This window comes from Homo sapiens, chromosome 5, assembly GCF_000001405.40.
Source record: "Homo sapiens chromosome 5, GRCh38.p14 Primary Assembly".
NCBI lineage: Eukaryota > Metazoa > Chordata > Mammalia > Primates > Hominidae > Homo > Homo sapiens.
Window position 1 is genome coordinate 62,543,153 of NC_000005.10, and position 27,109 is coordinate 62,570,261.

Below are 27,109 nucleotides of genomic sequence, written 5' to 3' on the forward strand. Positions count from 1 at the left end.
ATCCATGCGTTTAATCACTTTGTATGCAGTGTAGGCCTAAGTCAAGTAAATTGAATCCTGCATTTTTCACAAAAGTTTTAAGAACACAGTCTGTTTCAGAAGGAATGGTACCAGCTCCTCCTTGTACCTCTGGTAGAATTCGGCTGTGAATCCGTCTGATCCTGGAGTATTTTTGGTTGGTAGGCTATTAATTGTTGCCTCAATTTCAGAGCCTGTTATTGGTCTATTCAGGGATTCAACTTCTTCCTGGGTTAGTCTTGGGAGGGTGTATGTGTCCAGGAATTTATCCATTTCTTCTAGATTTTCTAGTTAATTTGCATAGAGATGTTTATAATATTCTCTGATGGTGGTTTGTGTTTCTGTGCGATCGGTAGTGATATCCCCTTTAACATTTTTTATCACGTCTGTTTGATTCTTCTCTCTTTTCTTCTTTATTAGTCTTGCTAGTGGTCTATCAATTTTGTTGATCTTTTCAAAAAACCAGCTCCTGGATTTATTGATTTTTTGAAGGGTTTTTTGTGTCTCTATTTCCTTCAGTTCTGCTCTGATCTTAGTTACTTCTTGCCTTCTGCTAGCTTTTGAATGTGTTTGCTCTTGCTTCTCTAGTTCTTTTAATTGTGATGTTAGGGTGTCAATTTTAGATCTTTCCTGCTTTCTCCTGTGGGCATTTAGTGCTATAAATTTCTGTCTACACGCTGCTTTAAATGTGTCCCAGAGATTCTGGTATGTTGTGTCATTGTTCTCGTTGGTTTCAAAGAACAGCTTTATTTCTGCCTTCATTTCGTTATGTACCCAGTAGTCATTCAGCAGCAGGTTGTTCAGTTTCCATGTAGTTGAGCGGTTTTGAGTGAGTGAGTTTCTTAATCCTGAGTTCTAGTTTGATTGCACTGTGGTCTGAGAGACAGTCTCCAATCAATAGAAAAAGAGGGAATCCTCCCTAACTCATTTTATGAGGCCAACATCATCCTGATACCAAAGCCTGGCAGAGACACAACAACAAAAGAGAATTTTAGACCAATATCCCTGATGAACATCAATGCAAAAATCCTCAATAAAATACCGTCAAACCGAATCCAGCAGCACATCAAAAAGCTCATCCACCATGATCAAGTGGGCTTCATCCCCGAGATTCAAGGCTGGTTCAACATACACAAATCAATAAATGTAATCCAGCATATAAACAGAACCAAAGACAAAAACCACATGATTATCTCAATAGATGCAGAAAAGGCCTTTGACAAAATTCAGCCCTTCATGCTAAAAACCCTCAATAAATTCGGTATTGATGGGATGTATCTCAGAATAATAAGAGCTATTTATGACAAACCCACAGCCAATATCATACTGAATGGGCAAAAACTGGAAGCATTCCCTTTGAAAACTGGCACAAGGCAGGGATACCCTGTCTCACCACTCCTATTCAACATAGTGTTGGAAGTTCTGGCCAGGGCAATCAGGTAGGAGAAAGAAATCAATGATATTCAATTAGGAAAAGAGGAAGTCAAATTGTCCCTGTTTGCAGATGACATGATTGTATATTTAGAAAACCCCATCATCTCAGCCCAAAATCTCCTTAAGCTGATAAGCAACTTCAGCAAAATCTCAGGATACAAAATCAATATGCAAAAATCACAAGCATTTTTATACACCAATAACAGACAGAGAGCCAAATCATGAGTGAACTCCCATTCACAGTTGCTTCAAAGAGAATAAAATACCTAGGAATCCAACTTACAAGGGATGTGAAGGAGCTCTTCAGGGAGAACTACAAACCACTGCTCAACGAAATAAAAGAGGACACAAACAAATGGAAGAACATTCCATGCTCATGGATAGGAAGAATCAATATCGTGAAAATGGCCATACTATCCAAGGTAATTTATAGATTCAGTGCCATCCCCATCAAGCTACCAATGACTTTCTTCACAGAATTGGAAAAAAACTACTTTAAAGTTCATATGGAACCAAAAAAGAGCCTGCATTGCCAAGACAATCGTAAGCCAAAAGAACAAAGCTGGAGGCATCATGCTACCTGACTTCAAACTATACTACAAGGCTACATTAACCAAAACAGCATGGTACTGGTACCAAAATAGAGATATAGACCAATGGAACATAACAGAGTCCTCAGAAATAATACCACACAGCTACAACCATCTGATCTTTGACAAACCTGACAAAAACAAGCAATGGGGAAAGGATTCCGTATTTAATAAATGGTGCTGGGAAAACTGGCTAGCCATATGTAGAAAGCTGAAACTGGATCCCTTCCTTACACCTTATACAAAAATTAATTCAAGATGGATTAAAGACTTAAGTGTTAGACCTAAAACCATAAAAACCCTAGAAGAAAACCTAGGCAATACAATTCAGGACATAGGCATGGGCAGGGACTTCATGTCTAAAACACCAAAAGTAATGGCAACAAAAGCCAACCTTGACAAATGGTATCTAATTAAACTAAAGAGCGCTTCTGCACAGCAAAGGAAACTACCATCAGAGTGAACAGGCAACCTACAGAATGGGAGAAAATCTTTGCAACCTACTCATCTGACAAAGGGCTAATATCCAGAATCTACAAAGAACTCAAACAAATTTACAAGAAAAAAACAACCCCATCAAAAAGTGGGTGAAGGATATGAACAGACACTTCTCAAAAGAAGACATTTATGCAGCCAACAGATACATGAAAAAATGCCCATCATCACTGGCCATCAGAGAAATGCAAATTAAAACCACAATGAGATACCATCTCACACCAGTTAGAATGGCAACCATTAAAAAGTCAGGAAACAACAGGTGCTGGAGAGGATGTGGAGAAATAGGAACACTTTTACACTGTTGGTGGGACTGTAAACTGGTTCAACCATTGTGGAAGACAGTGTGGCAATTCCTCAAGGATCTAGAACTAGAAATACCATTTGGCCCAGCCGTCCCATTACTGGAGATATACCCAAAGGATTATATATCATGCTGCTATAAAGACACATGCACACGTATGTTTATTGCAGCACTATTCACAATAGCAAAGACTTGGAACCAACCCAAATGTCCATCTATGATAGACTGGATTAAGAAAATGTGGCACATATACACCATGGAATACTATGCAGCCATAAAAAATGATGAGTTTATGTCCTTTGTAGGGACATGGATGAAGCTGGAAACCATCATTCTGAGCAAAGTATCGCAAGGATAGAACACCAAACACCACATGTTCTCACTCATAGATGGAAATTGAACAATGAGAATACTTGGACACAAGAAGGGGAACATCACACACTGGGGCCTGTCGTAGGGTTGGGGGAGTGGGGAGGGATAGCATTAGGAGATATACCTAATGTAAATGACGAGCTAATGGGTGCAGCACACCAACATGGCACATGTATACATATGTAACAAACCTGCACGTTGTGCACTTGTACCCTAGAACTTGAAGTATATAAAAAAAAAACCACACACACACAATCTGTTGCAGGTGTATTTCGAAAGGGAATGGGTTTAAACTAAAGTGCAAAAGTTCTTTTTGTAATAACAAAATGTTGTCAAAAAACAATTAGTAATAGGTAATTGGATGATTGAAGTACCACACCTTGTCCAGTTACACAGTGGAGTACTGTGCATTCCATTAAAAAGAAATGAAGAAAATCGCTATATGAGTTTGAGAATATAAGTAAGGAGCATTGTCTCTAGTTTTCTTCTGTTTAAAAAGTAGAAGGCAGTGGAAGAATAAACCAGGTAATTAAAGTAGCTATCTAGCAAAAAGAGGAGGAGAGGGTGAAACTAGATCTGTCAGGATGTATATCTGTTTTATATTTTAGAGTTTGGAACCATGTAGAGGTAAAGCATGATTTAGGGGGAAAAATAAAAACAATTCCTAAAGATACAAAAGAGACTGAAACATTTGAATCTAACTGTTACGATGTTGGTGGCACAGCTATTTGAGAAGAATATTTCAAGTCATTTTAATACATAGTATTTCACATGTACATCCCTGGTGGGATGTAACGTTACAAAAAAAGTAAGTTTGTAATTACATTCAGTAGTATTATTGTCATCAGTAATATTGGTATTGTTATTTTGAAACTCATATGTGTATATGAATAGTAGATAGAAATAAGGTTATAGGACCTGGCATTTTTCACTATAAGAGAAATAATATCGGACCATTTCATATGGATTTCCCACAGGCACCTCAAATTCGTCATGTCAGAGTGGAATGTCATCATTATTACTGACATCACAATTGTACCCATTTGACCAAACAGGAAAGCTAGAAGCAGTGAAAGACTTTTTCACCTTTGGTCCACTGTTCAGCTTTTCTATATGTTGCCAGTTCTAGTTCTGAATTTTCTCTTGATTCTGTCCCATACCCTCTGCACCCAAGTCTGATAATGGTATTTTTCTTTCAGAAACTCTCATCTTCTCTAGCTACGGTTCCAGACCTTTTAGACCACAAAAACTCTGTTTTATCCCTGAAATATTTGTGTATACGACTATGTTATTTATTTACTCAATCAGATACTGCTTTATGTGGGGATTATTTAATCCTTACATTAATTCTAAGTACTCCCTTGCCACAACCCCCTCCTCCCTGCTGCTAAATAAAACTGTAAAGATTCCTATGGATTGGGGCCAGCCACAGCTATGTATTATTACTATAAATTCTCTTCAAACCCTTTTGTTTTTAAAATTTTAACCAGAATTTTATATGACATAGTTTAGAGTCAACTAGATAGATATATAAGGTTTCTTAAAGAAAAAAACTGTAGACACCTGTCTTTCTGCCATTTTTCCTTGCTCAGAGACAACCACTTTTAGTGCTTGTAGCCAATTGATTCTTTTGTATCTATGTTCAGATCTGTAAATAACACCCCTGTGTTGTTCCTTCATGAGTTGTTAATTGTAGGCAGTATGTATTGATACTGCCTTTGCACTTCCTCTGTGCCTTCATCCTCCAAGTAATCAAAATTCAGTGTTTACGTCATGATTCCTCTATTTCTTCTTCAAAGCTGAGACATGTAGTCAGCTGTGATTACTTCTCCTTTTCTGTACAATCTTTTGTATTCTCTGGAAGTAATACTTACCTTTTTTTGGTATAATTTTTTTATGTTCACTAAACTGTCTGACAGATGTCCAATATGTTCAGACACATCAAGGATTCTGTTACTTTAATTTTCTTGAGGAAGTCTCTTCAGAGCCATGCTGACTCCCACCTTGGGGCTCTTTCTTTTCCAAGTTTGTAGCTGCTGCTGCTTGTTCCTGTTGTTATGAAATTTTAGAATGAGGTGCCGTAATGTAAGTTTATTTAAATGCATTCCATTGGGCACTGATGGGCTCTTATAGTCTGGAAGCAATCTCTTTTAGACTCTTTAGAGAAAATACACTCTCTTCGTTCTCCTGGATTGGGCATCAGTTGTCCAGATACTACAGAGTTGAAAATATCTAGCACTCTGTTTCTTAGACAGACTTTCAACCAGTCTTATTTTCTTTCTTCTTATTTTTAGCTTCCCCTTTCTCCTTCCCAAAAGTATAAGATTCTGCTACTTTCTGTGTTTTTTGGAGTGGAGAAGGGGAGAAGTTATATGAAGTAAATCTGGTTGCTTCTGTCAGCTTTCTCCTTTGACACCTTGGGATTCAGCTTTCTCTGACTTGAGTCAGTTTCCTCTTGAATTTCTTTCTTGCTTTCAGTGTTTGTTTCTCATTCCTCTTGTCTTTTTAAAATTATGCTCCCCCTCTTAAAATTTTTTTTCTGTAATTTTAGTAGGGTTTTAGATGGGAGTGAAATTATACATGTATTTAATAATGGGCAGGTGGTCTTACTTTCTACTCACAGATAAATACTGTCTGGTGATATCTGCCTCTGTGACTCTCTCGGTCTACTAGCTTATCTGTATATTTTCCATGTTTATCTTTTTTCCCAGATCTAGTTGTGTTTTTGTTTTTTGTTTTTTGTTTTTTCAAAAAAGTAAACTTGAGATAAAATTTTATTGTTTCAAATTTTATCTCCTCTTGCTTTTAATGAGGAATTGATATCTTGTATACCTGTATCTTTTAGTAGTAGCATACATAGTGCTTGCCACACAGTATAGTGTTTATATTTTTAATCTTTTATTTGGACCTTACCTTCACTTCTTGCTCAAAATTAGAGCAGCAACAAATGTTGTTATCAACCATGGATGCTATCTGCTTACCTTGGGACTGTTTCGAAATGCTTGGAAGTATTCTTGATGGTCGTAATTTTTGGAGTACACTATTGGCACACAGTAAGCAGACACTGGAAGATGCTAAATCTCCCTCCATGCATGGGATGACTGTAAATGGTTCTCTTCATACAAAATGTCAGTAGTCCATCTTGAGAAGCATTAATGGAAGTCATAAGGGAAACTTGGCTTTACCCTGAGGCTGTTCCTTGCCCATAACCCTCTCAGATGGTATCTGTTTCCTTCCCCACCTCTCAAGCACTTAGGCTGGAAGTGTGGGGTAAATGTCCTTCTTGGTCCTTTTTGCTGTTTCGTGACCACTGCATTCTTCTCTTCCTAAATATTAAAACAAAAATAAACAAACTCCACCCTGCTTTGAATTTCATGCTTACCCATTTTTGTTGTAAAAGAAACATCTCACTCATATCAAAATAATTTTTAGTCAAGTTTTCACATGTAACAATCAATACTCATGACTGATCTGTATAATTATGAATGAAATATGATTTCTAATTTAATAAATATGCAGTATATATGCCACATGCCCTTTTTCCTCCAATTTATTGATTAACTTAAATGTAGATTTATTTCTAGGCAGTGAGTATAGGTGTTACTAACTTCCTGTTTAGCTATCAAAAAGCCAATGTTTTAAAAATGCTTTTTGCTGCCTCTATTAGTGCATCATTTTTAAGGGTTATTTGTTTACATTGCAAGGGTAAGAATTACATTAACTGCATGTGATACCTATGTTATTACAATGTGATTAAATACAGTTGTATGCAAGATATATAGCTGTGTGTAAATATTATATACTTCATATCAAACTGCAATTTTAAAATGGATTATCTTGTAAAAGTGTGTCTAGTGTCAGAATATTGCATACCCTGCATACGTGTATGCATTCTTAAATTTGGTCTGTGATACTTATTTTAGTACATTGTTTCCTTACATGTGTTTTTCATAAAGCAATGACTTGCAGTATTATCACCAATCTTTCTTTCTGGTTTTTAGGTTGTGGAAAATGCCCTTAAAGTGAACCCAATACTAGGTCCACAAATGTTTCAACCGATTTTACCCTATGTTTTCAAGGGTATTATAGAAGGGGAGGTAAGATTTTTCTTTAAGTTCCAAAGGTAGTGTTAGACTATAGGATTCTAGTTTTAATTACTCTGTTAGATACAGAAGGAAAGCTTTTCTTGTCATTTGGATCATATTAAATTATGTTAAATTTTCAGGGCGGTTAGACACCTTTGCCTTTTCCTGTTCCACACAGGGAAGCATAGATTTTCTTTGACATGTGTCTTTCAAACATATGCATGTATGTTCACACAAAAATCATTTGAAGTACAGGAATGGTGAGTGGCTTAATTCCAATGCTTGACTACTAAGAATATGAGGGGGACAAAATAGTATTAATGTTCTTATAGACTGAATATGTTAAACCACTGGTTATTTTCTAAGAACAGCTCTCTTAAATAGATCCATGGACCTGTGTATGTTATGAGTATTTAAAGTAATATAGTACCAGGAGGCAGAGGTTGCAGTGAGCCGAGATTGCGCCGCTGCACTCCAGCCTGGGTGACAGAGTGAACTCCATCTCAAAAAAAAAAAAAAAGTAATAAAGTAATATATGAAATTGATAAATAGTATTTTTCTCTTTATTGTATATATATATATATATATGGTGCATATAATTCATATATGTATTTAGTAAGTTAGAACTCAGGCAGTATTGATAGTTCATTCTAAAGAGAAGTAACATGGAGGAGAATGTTATTTTATATCCCTGTTGCTTGTTACTGTGTCAGTGATTGTTTTTACTTGTACCATAACACAATTTTACATGTGTTGTATTTTAATTGTACAGAGGTATCCTGTAGTGATGTCCACGTATCTTGGAGTTATGGGTCGAGTTCTACTACAAAACACTAGTTTTTTTTCTTCACTACTTAATGAGATGGCCCATAAATTTAATCAGGAGGTAAGAATCAATATACTTAAATTTAAGGAAGTCTTTATCTAAATATAAATTAGAAATAGTTTGATGAAATAATGAGTCTTTGTAAAAGTCGCTTTGTAGTATTTAGACCTTTACATTTTAAATCTTTATTTATGCTGTATCAATAATTTGGGGTAGAAAAAGAATCTGTAAGTGGCACTTGAAACTTATACATTTTTGTCCTCGCTCAAAATAGGTGATTTTATTCTGCTTAGCCTAGAATATAATGTTGATTTGTTTATAGCTGCTGTTTTTCTTCACTGATACAGAATCTGGAAACGGGTATTTTGCATGTAGTGATGTATCATCTTTGTATTACTTCTTTAGTTAACTTATTTTTTAATGCCACAGATTGAGAGTATTTCTGTTCTGTTTATTGTGGAAAATGACCTTTTTAGCAAAGGTTTATTTTTAAAAATTGTAGTTGATATCTGTTACCAGAGTAAGTTTGGAATAGGTTTTTTAGTGAGGTGATTTAAGACTATATATGGCCAGGTGCGGTGGCTCACGCCTGTAATCCCAGCACTTTGGGAGGCTGAGGTGGGTGGATCACGAGGTCAGGAGATCGAGACATCCTGGCTAACACAGTGAAACCCCATCTCTACTAAAAATACAAAAAATTAGCCCGGCGCGGTTGCGGGCACCTGTAGTCCCAGCTACTTGGGAGGCTGAGGCAGGAGAATGGCGTGAACCCGGGAGGCAGAGCTTGCAGTGAGTGGAGATCATGCCACTGCACTCCAGCCTGGGCGACAGAGAGAAACTCTGTCTCAAAAAAGAAAAAAGAAAAAAGACTATATATGAGATATTCAAATAAGATTATGCTGTAAGTCATTAATCTGTTAAGATTTATAAGATGTTGAAGATATGGTATACTTGACGAATATATCTACAATGGAGACAATTTTTTAAAATCTTTTGGTTTATGGCTGAAAACAAATATAACTATTTCTAATACAAGGAAATCCAGAATAAGGAAGTACAAATTTTAAAATATATGTAGCTTTTCTAGAATTAGACTAATCTAATTAGAGATCCCAACCCTTGTTTTGATAAATAAATAGGGTATATTTTTATTAGCTTATTAATTTTAATTGAAATGGGGTAATATATATTTTTTAGTTTTTTTTTTTTTTTTAAAGTAGAGATGAGGTCTTGCTATATTTTCCAAGCTGTTCTCAAATTTCTGAGCTCAAGTGATCTTCCCACCTTGGCCTCCCAAAGTGCTGAGATTACAGGATAACTAAAAATATTTAAGAACATAAGAGAGGAAATTAAAATTACCCAGAGGAAACATCAGGATGCCATTACTATGTATTTACTTTCTTGTTTCCATGAGGGGCCTGGTCATGTTTCCAACATTTCTTGAAATATATGTCCTTCTTCCCTTGCATTAGTTCATGAAGATTCAGTCTGAGATCACAATGAGTAAATATTTAATCACCAAAGTCATGGATTAATCTCTTAAAAATTTTTTTAATTGACACATAATAGTTGTAGACATTTATGGAGTACATAGTGCTATTTCTATACATACAGCATATAGTGATCAAATCAGGGTAATTGACATATCTGTCACCCCAAACACTTACTATTTCTCTGTATTGGGAACATACAACAGCCTCCTTCTAACTATTTGAAACTATATATTACTGTTAACTGTAGTTATCCTGCAGTGCTATATAGAACACTAGAACTTATTCCTCCTATCTATGTGTGATTTTTTTATCTTTTAACCAATATCTCTCTCTCTCCTCACTTTCCCCTTACCTTTCCCAGTCTAGTAACCACTATTCTACTTTCTGCTTCTTTGAGGTCATCTTTTTTAGCTTCTACATGTAAGTGAGAACACGTAGTATTTCTCTTTCTGTTCCTGGCTTATTTCACTTAACATAAGGCTCTCTAGCCTCACTCATGTTGCCATGAATGACAGGAATTCATTCTTTTTTGAGGTCGAATAGTATTCGTGTGAGTGTGTGTGTGTGTGTGTGTGTGTGTGTGTGTGTGTGTGTGATATTTTCTGTATCCATTCATCTGTAGATGGGTGCCTAGGTTAATTCCATATCTTGGCTATTCTGAACAGTGCTGTAATAAACATGAGGGAGCAGGTATCTTTTCAATACAATGATTTCCTTTCTTTTGGAGATGTATATATCCAGTAGTGAGATTGCTGGATCATACGATAGTTCAATTTGTAGTTTTTTGAGGAAACTCATATTGTTCTCCATAATGGCTACACTAGTTTACATTCCCACCAGTAGTGCCTGAGTTCCCTTTGCTCTACATCCTTTCCAGCATTTTTTTTTTTTTGCCTTTTTGATAATAGCCATTCTAACTGGAGTGAGATGATATCTCATTGTGGTTGTGATTTGCATTTCCCTGATGACTAGTGATGTTGACCTTTTTTTTGTTTGTTTTTGAGACAGAGTCTCACTCTGTCACCCAGGCTGGAGTGCAGTGGCACGATCTCGGCTTACTGCAACCTCTGCCTCCCGGGTTCAAGTGAATCTCTCGCCTCAGCCTCCCAAGTAGGTGGGATTACAGGCACCTACCACCCCGGCTGGCTATGGGATTTCACCATGTTGGCCAGACTCATCTCGAACTCCTGACCTCAGGTGATCTGCCCGCCTCGGCCTCCCAAAGTGCTGGGATTACAAGTGTGAGTCACTGCGCCTGGCAGATGTTGACCATTTTTTCATGTACCTGTTGGCCATTCGTATGTCTTCGTTTGAGAGCTGTTTATTCAGATAATTGTTCTACTTTTAAAATGGATTATTATTTTTATTTAGCTGTTGTTTGAGTTTCTTGTGTATTTCGGATAGTAATCCTTTGTTGGATATATAATTTGCAACTATTTTCTCCCACCCTGTGGGATGTTCTTTTACTCTGTTGTTGGTTGCTTTTGTCATATAGAAGCTTTTTAGTTTGATAGAATCCCATTTGTCTATTTTTCCTTTTGTTGCCTATGTTTTTGAGGTTTTATTAGTAAAATCTTTTCCCTGACCAGAGTCCTGGAGTGTTTTCCTTATGTTTTCTTCTAGTAATCTTATAGTTGTGGGTCTCACATTTTAAGTCTTTAGTTCATCTAGAGTTGATTTATGTATATCACGAGAGGTAGGGATCTAGTTTTGTTCTTCTGCATATGGATATCCAGTTTTTCTGGCACCATCGTTGAAGTAACTGTTTTTTCCCCATAAATATTCATGCTATCTTTTTCTTAAATCAGTTGGCTGTAAATGTATGGATTTATTTCTGGGTTCTCTGTTCTATTGGTCTGTGTGTGTTTTTATGCTGGTACCATGCTATTTTGGTTACTGTATTTGTAGTATATATACTGTATTTGTTATACAGACACACACTTTTTTGGGGGGGTGGGGGTGGGGAGACAGAGTCTAGCTCTGTGGCCCAGGCTGGAGTGTAGTGGCAGAATCTTGGCTCACTGCAACCTCTGCTTCCCAGGCTCAAGCAGTTCTCCTGACTCAGCCTCCCCAGTAGCTGGGCTTACAGGCACACACCACCATGTCTGGCTAATTTTTGTATTTTAGTAGAGATGAGGTTTCACCATTTTGGCCAGGCTGGTCTCAAACCCCTGACCTCAAGTGATCCACCTGCACTGGACTCCCAAAGTACTGGGATTACAGGCATGAGCCGCTGCACCCAGCTTATGTAATATATTTTGAAATCTGGTGGTGTGATGCCTCTAGCTTTGTTCTTTTTGCTCAGCATTGCTTTGGCTATTTGGGATTTTTTTATGGTCCCATACAAATTTTTTTTTCTATCTCTTTGAAGGATGTAATTGGTATTTTGATAGGGATTGCATTGAATCTGTAGATTGCTTTGGGTAGTATGGCCATTTTAATAGTATTAATTTCACCAATTCACGAACATGGTGTGTCTTTTTTTTTGTATTTTTTGTATTTTTTTTTTACTTTTTTATGTTTTTAAATTTTAAAAATTTGCTGTTTTATTTAAAAATTTTGAGAGACAGAGTCTCACTCCATCATCCAGGCTAGAATGCAGTGGCACAATCATAGCTCACTGCAACCGCAAACTCTTACTCAGGTGATCTTTTCACCTTAGCCTCCCAAGTAGCTGTGACTACAGATGCGTGCCACCACACCTGGCTAATTATTTATTTATTTATTTATTTATTTATTTATTTATTTATTTGAGACAGAGTCTTGCTCTGTCGCCCAGGCTGGAGTGCAGTGGTGCAGTCTCGGCTCGCTGCAAGCCCCGCCTCCCGGGTTCACATCGTTCTCCTGCCTCAGCCTCCCAAGTAGCTGCGACTACAGGTGCCTGCCACCACGCTCTGCTAATTTGTTGTATTTTTAGTAGAGACGGGGTTTCACCATGTTAGCCAAGATGGTCTTGATCTCCTGACCTCGTGATCCGCCTGCCTCGGCCTCCCAATGTGTTGGGGTTACAGGCATGAGCTACTGCGCCTGGCCCCACACCTGGCTAATTTTTAAAAATTTTTGTAGACATACAGCCTTGCATGTTGCCTAGGCTAGTCTTGAACTCCTGGTCTCAAGAGATACTCCTGCCCCTGTCTCACAAAGCACTGGAATTACTGGCATAAGCCACTGTGCCCAGCCACCTTCAGTTTTTTTTTAATCTAGTTTTTAATTAAGAAAAAGAAAATGTCATTTGGGTCCATATCAACATTTGATCTGATTAAATCCAAATGCAATCCAGTGTGATATTAAATCAGTTAAATGTAATTTAACATTGATATTTTTCTTTGGGCTGCTGTTAGCTTTAAAATATTGCATCATCATGCAAAAAAAATACATCTTATTGAGTAATTAAAATGGCTTAACTTTTGACAGGCATGTTGGCAGGCACCTGTAATCCCAGCTACTTGGGGGGCTGAGGCAGGAGAATTGCTTGAACCCAGGAGGCAGATGTTGCAGTGAGCTGAGATTGCACCACTGCTCTCCAGTCTGGGTGATAGAGTGAGACTCTGTCTCAAAAATAAGTAAATAAATAAAAATAAATAAAATGGCTTAGCTTTGCGTATCATATAATTAAAGCATCATATGAGGACTACTCCAGTTACTGCTTGGTAACTTTGAAAGCAAACACATTTTAAGGTTTCAGTGGCTGGGTGTGGTGGCACATGCCTTGTAATCACAGTGCTTTGAGAAGTCTAGGTGAGAGGATTGTTTGAAGCCAGGAGCTTAAGACCAGGCTGGGTAACAAAGCGAGACTCCATCTCTACAAAAACTAAAAATAAATAGAGCCCCAGAATTTGAGGCTGCACTTAGCTGTGATCACTGCACTCCAGACTGGGCAGCAGAACAGGATTCTGTCTCTAAAAAAAAGTTTAAATTTTTTTTAAACCAAAAAAATTAAAATGAGAATTTTTTTTTAAATGAAGTTTCAGTGATTTGGATATCACTTCCAAAACAACCTACTTTTTATTACTTCTCATTGTCCTTTACCTGCAATTTCCTTTCATCGTCTTTCCATCCTCTTTTATTTTTCCTTTCCTTGCTCTCCTAGTCTTGGATACTCCTTCCACCCCCAGATTCCTACTGTAATTGGTTTTGATTGTTTGTTTTGTGGCTTTTTTGTAGCTTGTGATTATTTTACAAAACTTCTACTTGATGAGGGCTCAGTATTCTTGTTAGATGTATTCACATGTCCAGCCCTTTCTAAAATCCCTTGGTACATCAGGATCCTGTCCCCTTGAATATCTTGGGTTTTCACCTCAGTCGCCTAGATCCCATTTGAATGCTTGGCCTCACTTGTGAGTGCCCCTCAATGTGTTATCTAAACATTATTGTCAGTGTCTCTATATCCTTGATAACAACTCTGGGATGGTCATGAGCTCTTTTTTTTTTGAGACGGAGTTTCAATCTTGTTGCCCAGGCTGGAGTGCAATGGCGCGATCTCAGCTCACTGCAACCTCCACCTCCCGGGTTCAAGTGATTCTCCTGCCTCAGCCTCCCAAGTAGCTGGGATTATAGGTGCACGCCACCAAGCCTGGCTAATTTTGTATTTTTAGTAGAGACAGCGTTTCTCCATGTTGGTCAGGCTGGTCTTGAACTCCCGACTTCAGGTGATCCACCCGCCTCGGCCTCCCAAAGTGCTGGGATTACAGGCATGGGCCACCATGCCTGGCATGAGCTCTTTCTTGCTTAGGAACTTAAAATATACCCCTGGTCTCTCACTTCCCATTGACATATCATTTGTTTTGACAGGAAATCAGTAATAGAAATGTAAGGGAAATACTGTTATTCCTCCATCTATAGGCTAGTGAGCTAATCCAGATCTTACAATGCCTATTTTTCCCTCTTTTTCTTCCCAGTTCTATATTGTTTTTATATCCACACTTCATTGTGCTGGTACCTAGAATACATTCCTTTCCAGAATGCTGTGTTCTTATTCTGGATTAGACATTTGGTCTTCTGGATTGGACAGCTGGTTTGATATTTTTCACGTTACACTGATGAGGTTTGACTGGTTCATATGTTTGCTGCACTGTCCGTACCCCAACTATGGCTGAAAAGAACTCTCAGCCCTCTCTTCTCTGCCTTCTCTCCTCAGGCTTTTACTTTTCAGTCTTTCACTCAGCCTTCTATTTTTTTTGTTTGTTTTTTCATTTGTTGAGCTAGAATTATAGTAAGTCACCTAGAACTTTATACCAAGGCTCAATGTACTGTGGTTTTAAAAGTGTGTTTTGAATCCTTGTTAAATTAATTATAAATTCTGCAGCCCAGAACTGATACTCAGCTGATAGATGTCAGTGTGGTCATACCAGTTGTTAAAATATTGACCTAAATCCTGCAAATTAGCAAACAGGGTAAAAAATGACTTTAATAAGTGTTATAATGAATAGTATAAATTTTACTGTAAAAAATTGAGCATTCCTTTTAAGTATTGTAAACACATGTTTTGAATCTGCAGGAGTACAGTGAAGAAATTTTTATCAGTAATAAACTATCAATAATAAGCTAGTTTAGAACATCATCTGGTATATTTAACAATTTTTGAAGTGTTCAAGAACTACGTAAATATAGGATTCAGTGCAAACTAAAATTAGTATTTATTCCTGGAATAAAGAAACTTTTACTATTTCAACAAAAATATAGTGGCTTGCTATTGCTAGTAACATAAAGTTTAGGTGCAAAGATGCTTAAGAATTATATCATTAAGAATTGAAGGGTCTAAATTATATTTTATCAGAATGTCAGTTATTTTCTATTAAAGTTCCACTGGCAAAAGTAAAGAATTTTTGCAACAGTCAGGGAAAAAAGTAAAGTATCATCATGAATTGACAATAAACAGTTGTGTTTGAAATAAAAAACGCAGTTTTTAACTATCAAAATGAACAAAAATACTATCGGCATTTTTTCAATACCATTTACTGTGTAGTTTTAATAGAATATTTTAACGAATAAAATATTTAATAAAAACAAAATTAATATTAAAATGAGAGTATTATTACATTGTAGATTTGTTTCCGACCTCTTAGAAAACTTGTATAGATGTACTTGACATTGTGGGTTTGGTGTTCCAGACTACCACAATAAAGTGAGTATCTTCATAGCAAAAGTCATATACATTTTTTGGCTTTCCAGTGCATATAGTTATAATTACACTATACTGTAGTATATTAATAGTGCACAATGGTATTATGTCTAAAGTAATAATGTTTGTATCTGAATTAAAAATAATTTATTGCTAGAAAATTCTAGCGATCTCAGCCTTCAGTGAATAATGTTTTTGCTGGTAGATGGTCTTGCCTTGATAGTGAAGGCTGCTGGCTGATCAGGATGGTGGTTGCTGTAGGTGTGGGTGGCTGTGGCAGTTTCTTAAAATAAGACAAATGAAGTTTGCTGCATCAATTGACTCTTCCCTTCACGAATGAGAGGATTGACTCCAGTTGTGACAGAAATTCTACTGAAGACTGAATGGTCCTCAGAGAGCAAGAAAAGGAAAAATAAAAGAGGATTGAAGCAAGTTGCAGGCGAAGGATAATGAACAGTAGGTTGTTTTGGTAGTGATAACAAAATCACTGAAACTTCATTTTTTTTAATGATGATGATGGACTATTTGGTCCTCAGTAGAATTTCTGTCACAATTGGAGTCAATCCTCTCAGATTCTGCTGCTGCTTTATTAAGTTTATGTAATATTCTAAATCATTTGTTGTTATTTTAGCAGTGTTCACAGCATCTTCACCAGGAATAGATTCCATCTTAAGAAACCACTCTTTGTTGCTTTTGTTTTTGTTTTTGTTTTTTTTTCCTCATCCATAAGAAGTAATTCCTCATGGCTGGGTGCGGTGGCTCACGCCTGTAATCCCAGCACTTTGGGAGGCCGAGGCGGGTGGATCACCTTAGGTCCGGAGTTTGATACCAACCTGGCCAATATGGTGAAACCCTGTCTCTACTAAAAATACAAAATTAGCCAGGTGTGGTAGCACATGCCTGTAATCCTAGCTACTTGGGAGGCTCAGGCAGGAGAATTGCTTGAATCTGGGAGGCAGAGGTTGCAGTGAACTGAGATCACGCCATTGCACTTCAGCCTGGGCAACAAGACTGAAACTCTGTCTCAAAAAAAAAAAAAAAAAAAAAAAAAAGAGAGAGAAAAACAACTCTTAATTTGTTCAAGGGGCAGCAAGACAGGTAGATGTTCACACTGCTACTTTTCCCAGACCCTCAGGTTTATTATATTTTATAGGGAATTGCTGTATGTGCTCTTGGCAAGACAATTAAAGGTACCCTTCCAGAACATGCAAGAATGCCATATGCAGCATAGACTATAATTAGTGCAGTAAAGTCAAGATTGCTTTGTCCTTACACTAGGGACACTAAATAAAGCAGAAATCAGGAGGCCTTCCCAGGACTAGGGCTAATCAGAAGCCATCATATTGGATTAGCATTCAAGATGGAGTCATTTTTGTCTCCGCAGTCAGATTAAAGAATTGGCATACATAATTTTCGGGGCTGGTAAGTCTGAATTTTGCATAGCAGGCTGGAAACTCAGGCAGGATTTCTGTTACAGTCTTGAGGCAAAATTTCTTCTTTCCTGGGCATACTGTTTTTGCTCTTAGGGTTTTCAGTGAATTGGATGAAGCCCACTCACATTATCTAGGGCATTCTCCTTTATTTAGCGTCAACTCATTGTAAATGTTAATCACATCTACGTAATACTGTCACAGCAACATCTAGCCTAGTGTTTGACCAAACAACTGAGCACCTTAGCCTAGCAGAGTTTATACATAAAATTAGCCATCACATTCTGTATTATGTTGATTTGTTTTAGCATCATTTTTAGTGTAGCATGCAAATGTCTTAGGAAATAATTCATTTGTTTTCCTTTGAAACTCTGCAGTTTGAGGTTGCAACTTGTCCTCTCCTCTGAGGGTAGCAGCAAATTAGTCTAGCAAATTAGAGAACAGTGAACAGTAGTCATCCAATTGAATAAAGAATAATCTAAGTACAAGTTGACAGTTTTGAAAAATGCATGTTTTTTTTAATTGTACCAGATTGGCAGTGATTTATTAAATGATACTACTAAAATCACTCATGGGCTACATACATGTTTTGAATAAGTCTGCTTAGCTGTCAGGATTAATTAGAGTCAGTTTCTGGTTTTGCTCAAATTATCCATTTCCAGCTCATGACTTAACCCCAGTTCAGGTATTCCAGTTCTGTGGTTTACTATAATTGAATTTTAACCATGACTTATGAGGCTTTAGCCTTTAAAAGTATTTACCCACAAGTAAAACATATTTTAGGTATTTTGAGATGCCTCCTCCTCTTGTTTCAGATGGACCAGCTTTTGGGAAATATGATTGAAATGTGGGTTGATCGAATGGACAACATTACCCAGCCTGAAAGAAGAAAACTTTCAGCTTTGGCTTTGCTCTCTCTTCTGCCATCTGATAATAGGTGAGGAAATGTTTTCTTAAAATTTGTTTCTTTCAAGCATCAAAATGTAAACACTATTTTTGGCCATCAGTATTGCTGTGTGTTGCTGGGCAGTGGTACTTTTATATATATGGATGTGAATTTTGTTAGCTGATAATGATGTGGTAAATGTTGGTCTGGATCCAGAAAGCAGTGAGTGGGATAGGTACTGTTGGATTGTGGGGGCTGTAGTTTATTTTGGTTGTATTCATTTTACAAATTTATTTCATTCTTGTCTGAATTTCCATTTTTTATAATTACGTTTTATTAGACTAATCTTCAGTCCTCTGTTTACATAGATATATTAAATATCTAACATTTCAAAGTCAATAGCACTTCATAAAGTATGTTATAAAGTGTGTTAATTCAACAGTATTATTAGTTTTGTTTTCTTTTTATTTTGGATTATTTCTAAGGACGTTTGCAAGTTGTTTTTTTTCTTCTAAAACTTCTCACTCCCATAAAGCAAATACAGAATGCTTTGGTTTGGTCATTTAAAGAAGAATATGTTTCTTTGTTTTAATTCCATTTTGTGGAGTTCGGCATGAAATACTTTTAAAAATAAACTTTGACAGTCAGTACCTAGTTCTCATTCATGCTGTGTAGATTTTTTAAAGTGGTGGCAGGTATATAAATAACATACAGCTTCATTGGTGACTCTTCCTCATTACATTTTCTGGACAACTGCACATGGATGTGGTATGGGACATTGCTTATACTTTTGGTTTAGTCAGCTTGATTGAGCTTCATATCAGTGCACTCACCTGGAGCCCCCTTCGTTTTCATAGCAAAATTTTGAAATTTCTTTTAGTGCATGGTCAGCACATTTCTTGAAACCCACTTCATGGATGCACTTATGAATGTTGGTGGTATATTCTCAGGTCACCACCTTGTTGATGGCATAACAGCCCTTTTTGCTGCCCTTCTGTACCAAAGCCATTATGCTGGGCCCCTATTTTTTTGTACTTTTAATTCTAAAGGCTTAAAAGCAGGTCTCAGGGCTTGATGTTGTGTTAAAAGAATAATGATACTACATTAGATCTTTATGTCTTAGGACAGCGGTCCCCAGCCTTCTTGGCACCAGGGACCTGTTTTGTGGAAGAAAATTTTTCCATGAACTGGGGGAGGGGAAGGGGATGTTTTCAGGATGAAGCTATTCCACCTCAAATCATTAGGCATTAGATTCTCACAAGCAGTGTGCAACCTACATCCCTTGCATGCACTGTTCACAATAGGGTTACCACTCCTATGAGAATCTAATGCCACCACTGATCAGACAGGAGGCGGAGCTCAGGCAGTAATGCTTGCTTGCCCTCTGCTCACTTCCTGCTATGCAGCTTGGTTCCTAATAGACCATGGGCTGGTACCAGTCCATGGCCCAGGGGTTGTGGAACCCTATCTTAGGGAAATTTTAGAGCATACATATACTAGTGATAAATTAGTGACTTAAGTCCAGTTTTAGAAGTCCTTATTTGTTCTTTATGTATTATTTACTTCTACTATGGTAATTTGTATTAAGGACATATGTAATTATTTTGTTGCAATATCATAACAATAGATAGTACTTAGCAAATGCCACATACTTTCCTAAGTGCTTTATGTTGGTAATTTAATTCTTAAAACAGCCCGATGAGGTATAGACATGATTATCCCTTCTCACAGAGCAAACAATTACTTAAAAATGTTAAGTAACATATCTAAGATAAGAGATCTAGCATTTGACATGGCATAAGCCAATTTGAACCTGGGCTGCTTAACACTAGGAATGCCTCTTTTAACCACCAGGTGATATTGCTCCCCAGGTGGACATGCACAAGATGAAAAGATTTCTTCACTGTGAAATGGTGTGGCATCTTATTTATTTTTGAAAGCCAAATTTAAGTTACCTACATTTTAACTCATTGGTGTTTCTTTCTCTCATTGGGAAAAAAGTGACTTGAGAATTATTGAGGTTTTTAATATTGAAATGTTAAAGAACATGGTCCTTGGTGGTAGTCAGCACTCTGCTTGTTAGATAAATTAATGAATGGAAAAAAATGAGTTAATAAGACATGTTAGAGTTTTCTCCAAGATAAAGTACTGAGATTATTGAAAGAAAGCTAGAAATGGTGGAGGTTAAGTTTAGAAAGATACCTAATTGTATCAGAAAAATTTGTTTTACATTTTTAATGAGAATACTGTTTGCTTCAACATATAATATTATGTAAGTGTGTGGTTGTTCAAAACTATTTTTGACATGTAAGTTGTGGAAATTTAATATAGGTTGAGTATCCTTTATCTAAAATGTTTCTTTCAGATTTTGGATTTTTGAGATTTTGAAATATTTGCATATATATAACAAGATATTTTGGGGATGGGACTCAAGTCTAAATGTGAAATTTATTTATATTTCATATACACCTCATATAGTCTGAAGATAATTTTATGCAATATTTTAAATAATTTTGTATATGAAACAAAGTATTTGTGTGAAATTTTCCACTTGTAGCAGTATTCTGGCACTCAAAAAAATCTCAGATTTGGGCCATTTCAGATTTTTGGATTAGGGATGCTCAATCTATCGTTGGCATCTATAAGAAAAATTAATACTTAGACTGGGACTTAAGTCAACTTACATAAATTGAGGGATAGGACTTTATTAAGACTTGAAATTCTCTTAAACACTGGAATTTTAAATTTAAAAGTTGTGAGGTGGTAGCCTTGTGATGGAAGATCAGATATAATTTTTGTTTTTAAGATGAAATACAAATCTAATGGGCATTAGCAAAGTCATGTCATTTTTAAGGGTACTGAGAAAGTCTTGAATAATGTGGTAGTAGAATTTTAAAGAATAATGATTTAACTTCATAATATCCTTAATAGACTAGTGATGAAACATTGATATAGAAAATCTGTATCAACCTGTAACAATCTGAAAAAAAAAACCTTTATTGCAGTAGAAATTTGGCACATAGTAATTGGCTTGTGACTTAGGAAGATTTATAGTCACATACTGTAGTGGAACGTGCTGATATTCAAGTCAGCAGTTTTATTGTTTCCTATTTGTAACCTTTATTCTAGTTAACTACATAGTTGTTGGAGTTAGGGGGTATTTTTCCTCTTCTGCATCCTCAATGATGATTTCTTATTTTTCTACATACTAGTAATTTCCTATTCTTGCGTTTCTTTTAGATTTTACAGCATACCATTTCCTTTTCCCAAAATAAGGCATGTCTAAAGTATGATGTTGATGATTTTAAAAGTCAGACTAAATTGGGAAATGTCATTTTTTCCTCCTTTTATTATGATGGCATTTGGGTCCAGATGATAATTTTTTGTGGGAGGGTGTCCTGTGCATTGTAGGATGTTTAGCACCATCCTTGGCCACTACCTACCGGATGTCAGTTGCACTCTCCTCTTCCTCCCACCCCCTCAAGTCACGACAATTGAAAATATCATCAGACATTGCCATTAGATATCCCTGGGGACAAATTGCCCCCAGTTTAGAACCATGACTCTAAAGAATGACCATTTGGGAAATGGTTAAACTCTTTTACTCTAACCCACTACTTTTGGCTTAGAAATTCAGTGAAGACTACAGACTTTAGGACCACACTCAAATCCCAGGGCCATCAGTCACTTGCTAATGACCATGGTCAAGTTACTTAACTCCCATGTGCCTGTTTCCTTGTTCTTAAAATGGAGTTACTAATAGTATCTTTCTAATGAGGTTGTTGTCAGGATTAAGATTGAGTTTACATATGTAAGGTCAAACTGTCTACATAGATGGAATTAGCTGTCCTTATTTCATCCCCTTCTTTTTCTCATCTATTTAATGCAGTACCTAATTCTAAAAGATGATTTGAATGGGAAAGATATATTTTTGCATCTGAAATACATAGTAAGTTTTGTATTAAGAAAATGGACCTAAAGAAATAACCAAATTCAGGCCAGGCACAGTGGGCTCACACCTGTAATCCCAGCACTTTTGGAGGCCGAGGCAGGCAGATCACTTGAGGTCAGGACTTTGAGACCAGCCTGGGCCAACATGGTGAAATCTCATCTCTACTAAAAATACAAAGATAACTAGGTGTGGTGGCACATGTTTGTAATTCCAGCTACTCAGGAGGCTGAGGCAGGAGAATTGCTTGAACCCGGGAGGCAGAGGTTGCAGTTAGCCAGTATTGCGCCACTGCACTCCAGCCTGGGCAACAGAGTGAGACTCTGTCTCAAGAAAAACAAAACAAAACAAAACCGATGACAACTTTAATTTCGATTATGAAGAAAAGAAACAAACTAACACCAAGCACTCTTCATCATTCCCCCACATTTTGATTTTTTGATGTCTCAGTTTATATCTTTTTATATTGCCATTTCTTAACAAATTGTTGTGGTCATTTTTCTTTTTTTCATACTTTAAGTTCCAGGATACAAATACAGAACGTGTAGGTTTCAGCCCATCATCTGGGCTTTAAGCTCCGCATGCATTAGCTATTTGTCCTAATGCTCAACCTCCCCTCCCTCACCCCCTACCCCCCCAACTGGCCCTGGTGTGTGTTGCTCCCCTCCTTGTGTCGGTGTGTTCTCATTGTTCAACTCCCACTTATGAGTGAGAGCATGCAGTGCTTGGTTTTCTGTTCCTGCGTTAATTGCTGAGGATGATTGCTCCTAGCTTCATCCATGTCCCTGCAAAGGACATGATCTCATTCCTTTTTATGGCTGCATAGTATTCCATGGTGTATATGTGCCACATTTCCTTTATCCAGTCTATCACTGATGGGCATTTGGGTTGGTTACATGTTTTCGTTATTGTAAATAGTGCTGCAAGAAACAAATGTGTGCATGTGTCTTTATAGTAGAATGATTTGTATTCCTTTTGGTATATACCCAGTAATGAGATTGCTGGGTCAAGTGGTATTTCTGGTTCTAGATCCTTGAGGAATTGCCACACTGTCTTCCACAATCATTGAACTAATTTACATTCTCACCAACAGTGTAAAAGCATTCCTATTTATCCTCAGCCTCGCCAGCATCTACTGTTTCTTGACTTTTTAATAATCGCCATTCTGTCTGGCATGAGATGGTATCTCATTGTGGTTCTGATTTGCATTTCTCTAATGATCAATGATGTTGAGTTTTTTTTCATATGTTTGTTGGGTGCATAAATGTTATTTTTCTTATTAATAGTTTTGTTTTGGCTAGGCACAGTGGCTCATGCCTGTAATCTCAGCACTTTGGGAGGCCGAGGCAGGCAGATCACTTAAAGCCAGGAGTTTGAGACCAACCCGGGCAACACGGCAAAACCCCATCTCTACTAAAAAACAATACAGAAAACTAACTGGGTATGGTGGTGCATGCCTATAATCCTAGCTACTCCGGAGGCTGAGGCTTAAGAATCACTTGAATCCAGGAGACAGAGGTTGCAGTGAGCCAAAATCGTACCACTGCACTCCAGCCTGGGTGACACAGTAAGACTCTGTCTCAAAAAAAAAAAAAAAAGGTTTGTCTTTATAATTCATAAAGATATGAGTGATATAGTCACAATTAGAGTATAATTTTGAATTTTTGTCTGTGTAGTTTAAAAAGAATATATATATATGTGTGTGTATATATATTTTTTAGTGGCAGAGTTTAGCTTCTATTGTCCAGGCAGGCCTTGATCTCCTGGGCTCAAGTGATCCTCCCACCTCAGCCTCCTGAGTAGCTGGGACTACAGGCATGGACCACCATACCCAGCTGTGTAGTTAACCTTTACCAGGGAATTTTATCCATCCAGATGTTTTCTTGTTACATTTTACCATTATTTTCTTTAAGATTGATGAATTCCTTTCAGCAGTTTTTGTAAGACAGGCCTGTGGTGATGAATTCCCTCAGCTTTTGTCTGTCTGAGAAAGTCTCTATCTCTCCTGCATGTTTGAAGTATATTTCTGCTGGTTACAGTATTCTTGGTTGCCCTTTCTTTCCTTCAGCACTTTGAACATGTCATCCCTCCTGGCCTGGAAGATTTTCACTGAAAAGTCTGCTGCCAGATGTGTTGGAGCCCCTTTATATGTTACTGGTTTTATTGCTGCTTTTAGGATCGACTCTTTGTGATCATTGAGAATTAGATTATTATATATATGTCTTGGAATCATCTTATGTGGGTTGAATCTCCTTGGTGGTCTTTGACTCTCTTGTCCCTGAATATTTATATCTTTCTCTGGATTTGGAAAATTTTCTATTATTATTATTATTATTATTATTTTTTTTACTATTTCTACCCTTTTTTCTCTCCCTCTTGAAGGTCAATGACTCTTACATTTCCTTTTTTTTTTTTTTTTTTTTTAAGATGGAGTTTCACTCTTGTTGCCCAGGCTGCAGTGCATTGGAACGATCTCGGCCCACTGCAACCTCCGCCGCCTGGGTTCAAGCAATTCTTCTGCCTCAGCCTCCCGAGTAGCTGGGATTACAGGGATGCACCACCACACCCAGCTAATTTTGTATTTTTAGTAGAGACACGGTTTAGCCATGTTGGTCAGGCTGGTCTCAAACTCCTGACCTAAGGTGATCCGCCCACCTCAGCCTCCCAAAGTGCTGGGATTACAGGCGTGAGCCACCGCACCCCGCTACATTTGCTCTTTTGATGCTGTCCCATAGATCTCGTAAGCCTTATTCATTTGTTTTCAATTTTTCTCCTCCTTTGATTGTGTTTTGTTTATTTTTCTCTTTTGATTGATTGATTGATTGATTGAGACAGGGTCTTGCTGTGTTGCCCAGGCTGAAGTGCAGTGGCACAATCATGGCTCACTGCAGCCTCAACCTCCTGGGGTCAAGCAATCCTCCTACCTCAGTCTCCCAGTTAGCTGGGACTACAGGTGCATACCACCACACCTGGCTAATTTTTGTATTTTTTGTAGAGATGGGGTTTTGCCATGTTGCCCAGTCTGGTCAGACCCCTGAGCTCAAGCTATCCACCCACCTCAGCCTCCCAAAGTGCTAGGATTACAGATGTGAGCCACCACACCCAGGCTGACTGTATTTTCAAATATTCTGTCTTCTACGTTACTCATTTTTTTCTTCTGCTTGATCAGTTTTGCTGTTGAGACCCTCTAATGCATTTTTCAGTTTGTCCATTGTAGTTTTCAACTCTAGTATTTCCGTTTGATTTTTTGAAAATAAAAATACAAAAAATTAGCAGGGTGTGGTGGTGCACACCTGTAATCCCAGCTACTCGGGAGGCTGAGGCTGGAGACTCACTTGAACCCAGGAGACAGAGGTTGCAGTGGGTCGAGATTGTGCTACTGCACTCCAACCTGGGCGACAGAGCAAGACTCTGTCTCCAAAAAAAAAAAAAAAAAAAAAAATTCAATATCTTTGTTAAATTTTTTGATAAGTTCCTGAATTGATTTTCTGTGTTTTCTCGAAATTTGTTGAGCTTCCTCAAAAAAGCTATTTTGAATTCTTTGAAAGGTTGCACATCTCCATCTTTTCAGGATAGATCACTGATGCATTATTTAGTGTGATAAATATGAAATGAGATCATATTTAGGTGAATGTTCTTGATGCTTGTAGAGGTATGTCAGTGTCTGAGCTTTAAAGAATTAGATATTTTTTCTGTCTTCACAGCCTGGCCTTGTTTGTACCTGTCTTTCTTCAGAGGGTCTTCAGGAATTCAAAAGGGACTGACTGTTCACTTCCCTAAGCCTGTGGATACTGCAGCCATTTTAGCACTAGAGAGTGCCCTAAGGCCAGGTGTGCTGTTCACCAGCCTGAGGGACTTGAGAATTCCTAGGGTTCCCAGGCAAAGGCCTTTGCTCACTTTTCTCTTCCCTCATATGGAAGGAATTTCTCTTTGTGCTTTACTGTTTGGAGTTGGACCCAGTACTGTGATTTATTGTGGGTGGCGGGGAGGGGAGGTGGGTGCTGGTAGTAGCTTCCAAGGCAAAGCTGTCTGCAAACTTCCTTCTCTCTCTCCCCCAAGCACACAGCTTCTGTCTCTGCCCTTTACTGCCTGGATTTGGGATAGGAATGGTATAGGCAATGAAAGACTGTTCTTTCTTCCCCTTTCAATGTGCCCTTTCTTGTTCTATGCTAAAACCAGGTACTACGATCTCTCACTTGGTTTCTTTAGCTCTTGTGAAGGTATTTTCTTGTCTGGATAATTCTACAGATTATTCTGCAAATTGGTGTTCCAGTGGAGGAATGCAAGGAATTGGTCATTGGAGGGTTCTGTTTTGCCATATTGCTCTGCCTGTTCTCTGAGTAGTTGCTCTTATTGTTGATGTTTTTACTCAAAATACAGCCTGAGCTGATTTCTAACCTAGTTTCCATTATCTGATTATATAGTAATTTGTGGAAAGGGGCAGTGAAGTAACAAGGGGAGGGTTCTTTACAATTTTTATTTTGCCAGAGTTGACTGTAAAAGAAACAGTCTTCATGGGGTATATTGAATGATGACTAATCCCTTTCTTGCATTGTTATGCGAGGAAAATAGAGACATGAATAAGATTACTTTGAAGTTTCAGGACTTCAGATGTTGAAATTCTGCTCCCTTACCACTCTTTGAATATATGGTTTACAAAGGGGCTATATATCTTTAGAAGATCAAAATAATCTTTACATTATGTATGTTTTCCTTCTTTTTATATAATCTAATGCAATTTGTAGTAATTATTGGTTCTGATTATTTCAGTTCAACTGGGAAAAAACCCTTTGATGCAGCTTTTATTTTTATTTTTTGTATAAGCTATGCATATGTATCTTTTGGCTCTTGTGAGTTTGGGGACTGGTTTTCCAGCATAATTTGCGTAACATACCTATTTTTGAATTGGCTAATAATTATAAGCTGAATTTTGTTAGCTTTAATCCAGCAGAAGCTGGAGGGTGTAGACGTGTTAGAACAGTACAATTGGATGCTCACTCCTTTCATCTGTATACAAAGCAATTTCATTGAAAAAGAAGGTAAATGATTAATTCCTTGGCTTACTGATTTTTCATTGAAGGGTTATAATCATTTATAAAACTTTTT

General features: G+C 37.4%; 1 protein-coding gene across 2 annotated transcripts in view, besides 2 other annotated features; it reads left to right on the plus strand.

Moving 5' to 3' along the window:
• IPO11 (importin 11) overlaps window positions 1-27,109 on the plus strand; it is a 215,820-nt gene that overhangs the window by 130,390 nt on the left and 58,321 nt on the right. For both annotated transcript variants that reach the window (NM_016338.5, NM_001134779.2), the window contains exons 25-27: window positions 7,215-7,310; window positions 8,071-8,184; window positions 17,984-18,105. In NM_016338.5, the coding sequence (NP_057422.3) occupies window positions 7,215-7,310; window positions 8,071-8,184; window positions 17,984-18,105 (332 nt within the window). The remainder of the gene's footprint in view (window positions 1-7,214; window positions 7,311-8,070; window positions 8,185-17,983; window positions 18,106-27,109) is intronic.
• Window positions 25,536-26,168: an enhancer, noted in NCBI's record as "NANOG-H3K27ac hESC enhancer chr5:61864515-61865147 (GRCh37/hg19 assembly coordinates)". NCBI's record gives its function as "activates a minimal SCP1, AML or CMV promoter by ChIP-STARR-seq in naive H9 embryonic stem cells {active_cell/tissue: H9 hESC(naive)}" and the evidence as "EXISTENCE:reporter gene assay evidence [ECO:0000049][PMID:30033119]".
• Window positions 26,169-26,800: an enhancer, noted in NCBI's record as "NANOG-H3K27ac hESC enhancer chr5:61865148-61865779 (GRCh37/hg19 assembly coordinates)". NCBI's record gives its function as "activates a minimal SCP1, AML or CMV promoter by ChIP-STARR-seq in naive H9 embryonic stem cells {active_cell/tissue: H9 hESC(naive)}" and the evidence as "EXISTENCE:reporter gene assay evidence [ECO:0000049][PMID:30033119]".